We start from the raw sequence: 11,243 nt of genomic DNA, 5'->3' as shown, positions 1-11,243 counted from the left end.
ATATCATTTTACTTTTCCCTAGCCAGTGATTTATTAGGTAAGAAAAAGAAATAAAAGGCATAAAGAATGGGAAATATTTTGTTTTTCAATACAATACAGTAACTACCTGAAAGCTAAAGTTAAAGTAGCTTTTCTAGATTTATCTGATTATAAGTTATGGATAGATTCACTGAGTTCAACTTTCTCATTTTGGAGGTGGGTTGGGGAGAATGCGGCTTGCATTGCTGGTGTCCTAAGCATGTGCTTAGTGGGCTTGGTAGGTAATCCCAAACCATCTGCATGGGAGATGAAGCTGGAGAGGTTGACAGGAGCTAGAAAGTAAAGGGAAGCAAGAAGTTTCTGTTCTCTGAGGACATGGGGAGACACTATATTGTCTGTACTGTCAAGCATAGGTACATATATGTAGTCATTTTTATAGTTGGTAGAAAGCAAGGGGATTAGGTCAAAGCCATTGATCTCTTCTTCTTTTATTTACAAGTTACTTATAGTTAACTTTTAATAGATGAATAGCTGCTTTAATATTAAATTTTAACAAAATATACCAAAAAATAAAAGCTTCACATTATGTTTAGTAGATTTTCATGAGCTCTAATACTTCACAGGGTTCTGACTCTTAATAGCATGAGGTATTCTGACAATAGTTTAGACCTGTTTGTAAAATTTTCTCACATCTAAATTTCCTTTCAAATATATATCTGTACTCGTTTTCTAACACAGCTGTTCCATCAGATAACCTCTTGAGTGACAATTGTCATATGATAATATATTTCAATTATGATAATTGTTCAAATGAAATGACAGATGACACCTGAACCTCTAAAGTAGCATACAAGATAATGTGATCAACACAACGCCTTCTTTCTTCCCGACCCCAGAATTATTAAGGTATAATGGACAAATAAAAGTTGTATATATTTAAGATGGACAACGCTGTGTTTTGATATATGTATACATTGTGAAGTGATTACCTCAATCAAGCTAATTAACATAGAAGAAAGTCATTGATTCTGGCAGCTTTCAAGGCCTCTACTGAAAGATGCCTCTCCTAGGAAATACCTTCATCATAAATATTTCAGTGAAAACCAGCACAATCCTTAACTTACCAATGATCTTTGTCGAAAGCCGGCGTATTCCAAAATTAAGTTTCCCAGTTGCCAACTTTGGTCTTACAGAACACTGCCAATTTGTTTCCTTTCCCTTTCCCCAACCCCTGATCTTGAATTTAAGAATGTTTTTAATAAATGTCAGTGGCTTTTTGGCAGGAAGAGAATAACTTCTGGTCTCCATGCAACTATAAAGAATTAAATTAAAGAGTGGTCACATTTTTATGCTTTGGTTTTATTGGTGAAGATGGCTCCTTTACCACTTTTAAAATGGAAAGCATTTTTGAAAAATTGTAATTTGCTTTTCTGTCATTTTCCTTATGTCCCCATAATTAATAATGACATTAAAGATAATAATTGCTAACCATATAAAGCATAACACTATATGCCCAGAACCATAAAGCATTTTTCCTACATTTGCTCATTTAATCCTCACAATAACTTTTTGAATTAGGTATTTTAATTAAGAGACAGAGAGTTTAACTTGACTCAAGGCTGACTACTAACAAGTCAAGGAGTCAGGACTTCAACCTTTGCAGTTTGCCTCCAGAGTCTGTGTTTGCTGGGTTGGAGTGGATTAAAAGTGGGTCTGAAGGATTTGGAGTAAGAACATCTATGTCAAAATCCTGGGGATTAGAAACTCAGTTAATCCCTTTGGTATTATTTATCCTGATTTATAAAATGAGGCATTGGATGATTTTTTTTTTTTTGACATGGAGCCTCACTCTTGTTGCCCAGGCTGGAGTGCAATGGCGCTATCCCATCTCACTGCAAACTCCGCCTCATGGGTTCAAGCAATTCTTCTGCCTCAGCCTCCCTAATAGCTGGGATTATAGGCACACACCACCATACTTGGCTAATTTTTTGTATTTTTTTAGTAGAGGCAGGGTTTCACCATGCTGGCCAGTCTGGACTTGAACTCCTGACTCAGGTGATCTGGCCGCCTTGGCCCCCCAGCATTGGACAATTTTTAAGGCTCCTTCTCACACTTCCCAATTTCAGACATGTGGAGTGGGCCTTTTGGCCATTATTGTTGAGGTTTTTTATCGTCTTAACCCTCTCCACCTCCACCTGGACTCACATGTCTGCTTATTATTGATTGCTTCCCCCCAAGCCTAAAGAGTCTTTGGGAATCTGCCTCCACCCCCTTTTCTCTGGTGGAGTCTTGTTCTCTGAACCAACTTAATAGGGTCTTGATATAAAAACACAATCTGACTTTTAAGGCACTATATTGTGTCATGTTCTTACTGTGTGCCCTGTAATTTCAACAAGATATTAATTTGTTTCTGCTATGAAGCCTCTAGAGTCTTTTTTTTATTATTATACTTTAAGTTTTAGGGTACATGTGCACAACGTGCAGGTTAGTTACATATGTACACATGTGCCATGTTGGTGTGCTGCACCCATTAACTTGTCATTTACATTAGGTATATTTCCAAATGCTATCCCTGCCCCCTCCCCCAACCCCACAACAGGCCCCAGTGTGTGATGTTCCCCTTCCTGTGTCCATGTGTTCTCATTATTCAATTCCCATCTATGAGTGAGAACACGCGGTGTTTGGTTTTTTGTCCTTGCGATACTTTGCTGAGAATGATGGTTTCCAGCTTCAGGCTATTCACAATATCTTCTAGACTCTTTTAAAAGGTTTTCTACTCTTGAACTAGAAGAAGATACTTAATGCAGTCTGTGTGGTCAGACAGTGCTCTGCTTGAAACTCACTACTTAAATGGAAAGCTTAACTTACAAGTTAAGCTTCAAATAAAGCTTTACTGTTACCCTCTGCAAATCCCCAACTTTTCTACCATCAGTTGAGACTCTTGTTTCAATGTAAACTAAATTGTATATACAATATGCAAACTCCCAGACTTTGTGTTTTAGGTGACTGGTCTGGGGTTACAGTACTGAAACTTTTTCCCCTTTGTCTTCTTTTTGCTTTGACCACGCACGCAGGGCTATAGTACACACAATAAATGAGGCAGCAAATTTCTTCAGATGCAGAGCTCCTGTGCCATTGTTGGTTATGAATTCCTACTATATTTTGATATTTTGTGCAATTTAATGGGATTTAGCAATAAAATCCTTGCCTATTGGGAGGAGTATAGCATTGCACCCCTGCTGTGCTCAGCAGTGTCTCCTGGAAGGTTGTAGAGAAGATGTTATGCTGACCTGTTACCATGTTTACGTAAGTTATTGTCTGCTTAATACATTTGGTAGTAGTTGCATGATAAGTAGATTTTTGGAAAGGGATAGTCTTTTAAGTCTACATTTAATTTCTCAGTAGAAACCAGTTTCTCCTCTTTAAATGTTTCCATATTGGGGATATTGCCTTAACTGACCTTATTTCTAGCTTTCTCTGACCTGTTCTGAGGGATATTTCCTTACATGCCACTGATGCCTCAGTGACTTTTCCAGAATAGCTTAGAACCACTATGTTTTGCTGTATGCCCAGCACTTAACCAGGCTGGGATTTTTAGGATTTAAGGGCTAAAAGATTCAACCCATTTCATAAATCCTTGTGACATTAGTCGTGTGTGCAGAGCAAAGAGACGGAGTTTTCCAAATATACCTGAGAGCAGCAAGTATTTGTTGTCATAATGGGGTAACGGCGTTGGTCCATAGCTCTGTTTTTATTCCTGTCTTGGCCATTAGGATCGGGATTAGGTGAAGAGGCTTCGTTACATATCTAGGGAGAGCATTCTGGACTTATATGAAGATAGGGGAGACAGTAGAATCCCTGTTACTAACAGTGAATAATGTATTTAAATGTCCTCTATGGTATGGTTTGGATGTTTGCCCCACCCAAATCTCATTTTGGAATGTAATCCCCAGTGTTGGAGGTGGGGCCTGGTGGGAGGTGTTTGGTTCATAGGGGAGGATCCCTCGTGGCTTGGTACTGTCCTCATGTTAGTGAGTTAGTTCTCACTAGATCTGGTTGTTTAAAAGTATGTTAGCACCTCCCCCAAGCCCTACTCCTGCTCTCACCATGTGACGTACCTGCTCCCACTTCACTTTCCACCATGAGTAAAAGCTCCCTGAGGCCTCCCCAGCATCTGAAGAGGTGCTGGCTCCATGCTTGTACAGCCTGCAGAACTGTGAGCCAATTAAATCTCTTTTCTTTATTATTTATCCAGTCTCAGGTATTCCTTTATAACAATGCAAGAATGGCCTAATACACCCTATATCTCTGAAAGTAGCTTTCACATTAATTGTTTTTATATCACAAAAAAAATTTATCAAAAGCATCTGTTGAACAGACAAAGATTAGGGCAAAAATGGGGCAATTTTACCAGAGAGGCTGCATCTCCTCTCCCAAGCCTCACATTCCGTAATTTATCCACCCTTGCCCAGCAGCCCAGAATGTGGGCAACCACTCTCCCAGGATTGCAGGGCTGAATGTGTTCCCTGAGACTGCACTGCATGTTTTTCCAGAGCACTGTTAGGTAAACCAGAACGCACTGTACAGTGTACATATGGTGTTTCTCTGTCCTTTGGGCCAATACTTGGCAACTCAGTCAGGATGTGGAATCCTGAATCTAGGCAGATCTCCACCTGGAGACTTTGGTTTTGCAAAAGGCTGCAAGGTCAGAATAGAATTTGTCTCCCTTCACAGGCAATCCATTATTCAGATTCAGATGCAGTTCCTCTAGATATCTCTTACGTGTTTACATACATGCATGCATTAAGCATATATCAGTATTCAGAAGGAAAGGAATAACACTTTGAATTTGAATATTAGGTGTTTCAAAATGGGATCTTATATGTCGCTTTTCCTCCCTCCAAAGTCATTCCCTGTTTACTTCTGATGACTTTGAAAGTTTATGCAGGGAAGATGAATTCTACTTCCACATAATCAAGCATTGTGAAATAGCAGAACAAATAAACATCTTTATAAAAATGACAAAAACCTTTACACTAGAGCGTCTTGCCTCCACAGGGCATTCAATTAATTATGGGCTGGGAATAAATAATACTTTTCATAATACCTTGACATTTATCTGGGTGCATTGTTTTATAAACAACATTATTCACTAACAGTCTTTCAGTTCTGTCTTCATTACATGGTGATCTTATAACTCTAAATGAGAAATTTCTACATTAAGAATTTGGCAGATTTATAATTGAGTTTTATAATGATTTTGATATTGATAATAAAAACTTACATATTCAGCATTTTATCTCACATTCCTTAGTCTACCCTTCTATATTCTTTTTGGTTCACTTTTTACCAAATTTTGTGTTAAATAAAGTGAGCAAGAAAGAATTTTAGTGAAACATATATAAAGTTTAAATAATACAATACAATGTATACTTTTGTATTGCATTTCCTTCCCCAGCTCTACTCCCTTCTCAAACTCTGTGTTTAGAATTGTGTTAATTATTCCCTTCTTGTCCTTATTGTTTTATCATGTGTTTGTACCTTTAAATATCATATGGTTTAGTTGTGCATGTTTTTGAGATACAAACAGATAGAAGCATACTGTAGGTACTCTTTGGAAATGTTTTTCCCATTTGACTTTACACCCCTGAGATTCATCTATGTATTCATGTAGCTGAAATTCATTAAATTCTACTTTTTTTTTTTTTTGACTGAGTCTTGTTCTGTCACCAAGGCTGGAGTGCAGTGGCGTGATCTTGGCTCACTGCAACCTCCACCTCATGGGTTCAAGTGATTCTCATGCCTCAGCTTCCAGAGTAGTTGGGATTACAGGCACCCGCCAACACGCCTGTCTAATTTTTGTATTTTTAGTAGAGATGGGGTTTCACCACACCGGCCAGACCTAGAACTCCTGACCTCTAGTGATCCGCCCGCTTTGGCCTCTGAAAGTGTTGGGATTACAGGCATGAGCCACCGTGCCTGGACTCTTTTTTTTAATTTTTATTTTTTCCAGACGGAGTCTCGCTCTGTTGCCTGGGCTGGAGTGCAGTGGCTCGATCTTGGGTCACTGTAACCTCCGCCTCCCAGGCTCAAGAGATTTTCCTGCCTCAGCCTCCTGGGTAGCTGGGATTACAGGCCTGTGCCACTGCACCCGGCTCATTTTTGTATTTTTAGTAGAGAAGAGGTTTCATCATGTTGGCCAGGCTGGTCTTGTACTCCTGACCTCAGGTGATCTTCCAGCCTTGACTTCCCAAAGTGCTAGGATTACAGGCATTAGCCACTGTGCCCGGCCTAATTCTACTTCTTTATGAATGTATTCAACCCATGTTTGACTATATTGCTATTTATAATTCTATAAGTAAATCTTCAGGTTTTCAGGTTTTTGTTATCACAAACCCCGTTGTTACGAACAAGATCCACAAATCTTTGACGCTCAATACTTTTTTTAAAAAGAAATATTTCTAAGAGTGGCATTTCAGGGCACAGAGAATGGATTTCTTCATTACTAAGTAAGCCAAAATGTTTCCCAAAGTGGTTGCTTCCATATATATTGCATCAGCAGAGTATGTGATGAAATGGTGTCAAATACTGTCAGATTTTAAAATATCATCAAGTTGATGGGTGCAAAATGGTATCTCACTGTGGTTCTAGTTTCTTTTTCAAGGAATCCTGATGACACTAAGCACAGTTTCATTTGTTTACTATCAACTATTTTATTTGCTTTTATACAAAGTACCTATTTTTCTATTGGATTGTTAAAATATTTTGAAAAAATTTTTATTGAATGAAATGGACAGTTTGTACAGTTTGATCAATTTTTACAATGCCTACATTCCTGAAACTCACATTCCTACCAATATTGAAACTATTTATTTACCCTAAAAGTTTCCTTGCATTATTTTTCAGTTGATTCCCCAATTCCAGAAACAACCACAGATATAATATCTAGTATCACAGAATAACTTCACCTGCTTGAGAATCTTAAATAAATGGGATCATATAATATGTTTTTTATGTTTGGCTTTCTTCGCTTAGCATGATGTTTTTGAGATTCATTAATGTTGTTGCATCTCTTAGAAAATCTTTTTTATCACCAAGTATTCTGCTTATTCAACTGTATAAACACCTAGATTGTTTTCAATTTTTTGCAATTACAAATCAAGCTGCTAGGAAGATTCTTCTACAAGCTTTTGGTAGAAAGGAACTCTTCCAATATCCTTCTCTGCTAATTCTAACACCTGGGTCAGTTCTACATGGATTTTAATTGACTCATTCTTCTCTGTTGAGGGTTGTATGTTCTTGCCTCTTCACATGCCTTATTGTCTTTGATTAGATGACATTGTTGAATGATTGAAATTTTTGTTATTTCTATAGATTTTCTTGAGCTTTGTTCCATGCAATTGAGTTACTTGAAACAGTTTGCTGTTTTCAGGTCTTACTCTTATGATGTTTAGGCACTTCTGAAACAGAACCTAGTCTAAGGTTAATTATTCCTCACTACTGAAGCAAAACCTTCCTAAGTACTTTGTCCAGTGCCCTAGGAATTAAGAGTTATTCCAGTCTGCTTGGTGGGAGCAGTCATTGTTTCCAGCCCAGCGTCAGCACAGTCTCTGTTCCCTCTTTTGATAATTCTTTCCTGGGTAGCTTCCTAACATGCATGTGCTGATTCCCATCAGAGTCCCTCTGCAGATCTCTGGAGTTGGCTGTCTGTGCAGCTGTCTCCTCTCTGGAACTCTCTGCTGTGAACTCTCGCTGCCCAGGTCTCCCAGGACCAAGCTTCATCTCCTCACGTCGGGGAACCCACCTCAGTTCTGCCTCCCTGCACCGCAGCCTAGGAATGCTCTCAAGGCTGTTAGGTGGAGCAGTTATAGGGCTCACATTGTTTGTTTCCCATCCCTCAGAGATCACCTGTTGATTAATGTATTTTACTTTTTAAGGTGTGGCGGTGGTGGTGTTTCAGGCAGAGGTTACATCTGGTCCCTGTTATTCCACTTTGACCAGAAAGCACCGATATTTCAAATTGGACATTTGTCTGGCACCCTGGGAAGTAATTTCCCTCCAGGTAGGGGGGTATTGTTACGTTCAGAATGTGTGAGAGGTGTGCCTTTCTTTAAAAGAAGAAGAAATAGCTAATGGAGGCAGGTAGTAGAAAGAGCCAGAATGACACCCGAACAGCCCCACTCCTCCTGGTGAGCAACATTTTGAGGGGTCTTTCTTCTCTCTGAGTGTGTCAGTCAGAAAAACATCCTGCTCAGGATCTGCTAGCATGAGCTTTTGTTGTGGTCTCAATTGAGGTTGGGGGCTTGGAGAAAGTGCATTGTAAACAGGAGGAAACAGAGTTGGAAAGAAAATATTTCTTATTAAAGTTGGACATGTGATAGGAGTTGAACTTTTGTCTTGAGGTGTTAACCTCTTTGGACACCTGAATATTTTTGCCAGTGTTTTTACATATGTGGTTTGCACATGCACCGCAATAGTATTGGTGGTGGATCCACCTGATGTAAGATGAATGATCTGAAAGGAATGAGCTGGTTAATTGGGGGGATTTTCTTCCAGGTTGAATTTGTTTGGAGGAAAGTCCGTGTTACATCAGAAAGTGGTATCCTCTCACAAAGAGCCTCTCATGAGCTGGCTGATGTGAAGCTGCATTTTTAAAGTGACTTTGAGATCATTTTTCTGAGTGTATTCAGAATTTCAACTGTTCTTTAAAGTTCTGCCTCTGAGCCCCAAATCTCTGAACACTTCTCACATCTGCTCCAACTATTCAGTCCTCCTCGTTTTGTTATAGCAATGTTAGAAATATAGTGCCATTTGTAGTCTGCAGCTTGAGTTAAACCAATGACACAAACATCCTAGAGCAGTACATTTCAATTTTTGGTATTACAACATGAAAGATAATGTAGAGCAGTTTCAGCAACTTTGAGAGAATAGAAACACATGGTGATAGCCTTTGCAACTCATAGAAAACTGGTTTTCTTTTAATAATCCTTTATAATTTCTCCTTCTAAATCACAGCATATGACTAGTTGCTTCCTTACCTTGTAAAATATTCACTTTTTTTTATTCACATTTCCTAACACCAAAATAATCTTCTAAGGGTTCAGGTAGATTATGCCAAGCACATCTGAGATCCAGGTTGATAACAAACATTGGGCATTTGCATCGTTTGGTTTCCCAGTCATGGGGTTCTTGAGAGATACCCCAAAGTGGACATGATTCCAATGATTGCAAATAAATAGCAGCCTGCAGACTAATTGGCATGTAGCTTGGAGCAAGAGCAGCCAATGTGACTTACAAGGGATCTACTGTGTCCTAATAGGCCTAGATATTTCCTGCAGACCCCGGCAAAGTGCTTCAGGCTGTGCCTAGAGTAGCTCAGTCTGAAAGCCTTTTAGATTGTGGCAGCTGCTGATTAAAGAACATTTTTCCCTAGAAAGGATGGGAAAAAAATGAGAAGAGTGGAAAATGACTATAAACTCTGTTTCACTGAAGATAGGAAAAAAGTATTGTTGAACTCGATGTCAGTGAAGGGCCTTTCCCATTTGTAGAAAACTTATCAAAATAACCTCCCTTGGGCTGATCATATCCTACTGTTGACCTTTCTTCTAGCAGCTTAAACTTTTCATGGCTGTTAAAGAGCATTATCTACTTTTTCATATCATTTTCTTCCTATACGTGATGATGGTGAGGCATTTTATACTTTACAAGTGTTTCATGCTTTATGTACATCATATGATTAGAATACCATAGCAACCTTAAGAAACCTATCTTGCAGGTAGGTGTACAGCAAATAATAACAATTAAATTATTAAAAGCATTATTCTTTAAAAAGAAGATCTAATAGAGTTTTTAAATTTTAAACAGTTTGGAAAGCAGATGAATAGCTACAAAAGTGTCATTCACTTGGCTCCATTACCTCCCAATTAAGTTTCTCTAAAGAAAGGACAGAGAAAAGATAAACAGGCTCAGGTGATTAGGGGAATCTCTTCCTCTGTTTATTATGTAAATAAAGTTTTATTGAAACACAAAACACACTCATCCATCTGTCTATGGCTGCTCTTCTGCTACAACAGGGAAGTTGAGTAGTTGTTAACAGAGACCAGTTGGGTTGCAAACCTTAAAGTATTTGCTATCTGGCCTTTACAGAAAAGATTTGCTTACTCCTGATCTAGGTAACTGAAAAACATCTGGTTTGAGTCACCACAATGGAGAACCATGGCCTCTAACCCAGTTGCCAGACCTAAGCCAATTTATAGCCCCAGAGTCCCTTGGTTGATAGAACTGGACTCTGTAGCATTGTCACAATATATACAGTAAATATACCTCTAAGATTTTCCACAGACAAGTCCTCTGTAGACATGTACAATGTCTACAGAGAAGACATCTGTAGTCATTGACTAGAGTGACCAAGCCCTGGAGAAAAAGAATCACCCAGACTTCTAAAGGATTATGAGACACTGGTTCTGAATGGTTCTGAATTGATGCTAATTCCTTAGGACCCAAGGTATCACTGCATCTCATCAGTCAAAGTGGGAGCTTATGGTGCTCCTGTGATAGATGGCCTTGGCCAAAGTTCCACTCGCAGTGGATCTGGTTGGTCCAAAGACTCACCCTGTGGCTCTTTTCCCAGATCCTAAATGTATAATCAGAATCAATGTACTCAGAAACTGGAAGAATCCCCACATTAGATCTCTGACCCATATGATGAGGGAGATTTGAATAGGAAGAGCTAAGTGGAAGCTCCTAGAACTTCCCTTCTCTATCAAGATACTAAGCGAGAAGGAACATCACATCCCAGGTGGAAATGCAGAAATCAGTGTCACCATCAAAAACTTGAAACAAGAATAGCGATATGTTTCTCATCTCCGTGCCTGTTGGGGCCATGCAAAAATTGGATGGATCTTTGGGAATGACTCTGGATTATTGTAACTTAATTAGATGGAAACTTTGATTGCAGCCACTGTCCCAGATGTGGTTGGTATATTTACTGGAGCAAATCAACACAGCCTCTGGCACTTGGTATGCAACTGTGGGCCTAGTTAGTGCTGTTTTTTTTTTTTCCCTCCACACCAATTTGCAAAAGATAGCTATAAGTAGATTGCTTTTTTAAAAAGACAGTATACTTTCACAGTCTTGTCTCAGGGCTACATCAACTTTCTTGCTCTCTATCATAATACAGCCCAGAGAAATCCCAATCATTTGGCAATCCACTAAACATAACAATGGTTTACTATATTTATAACATTACGCTGATTGAATCTGCT

At 38.9% G+C, this 11,243-nt stretch overlaps 1 annotated feature.

The window, feature by feature from the left end:
• Window positions 9,741-10,288: an enhancer, noted in NCBI's record as "NANOG hESC enhancer chr12:30483396-30483943 (GRCh37/hg19 assembly coordinates)". NCBI's record gives its function as "activates a minimal SCP1, AML or CMV promoter by ChIP-STARR-seq in naive H9 embryonic stem cells {active_cell/tissue: H9 hESC(naive)}" and the evidence as "EXISTENCE:reporter gene assay evidence [ECO:0000049][PMID:30033119]".

This window comes from Homo sapiens, chromosome 12 (assembly GCF_000001405.40).
Source record: "Homo sapiens chromosome 12, GRCh38.p14 Primary Assembly".
Classification (NCBI taxonomy): domain Eukaryota; kingdom Metazoa; phylum Chordata; class Mammalia; order Primates; family Hominidae; genus Homo; species Homo sapiens.
Note: the sequence above shows the minus strand (reverse complement) of the source record. Positions and strands in the feature narration are given on the sequence as shown.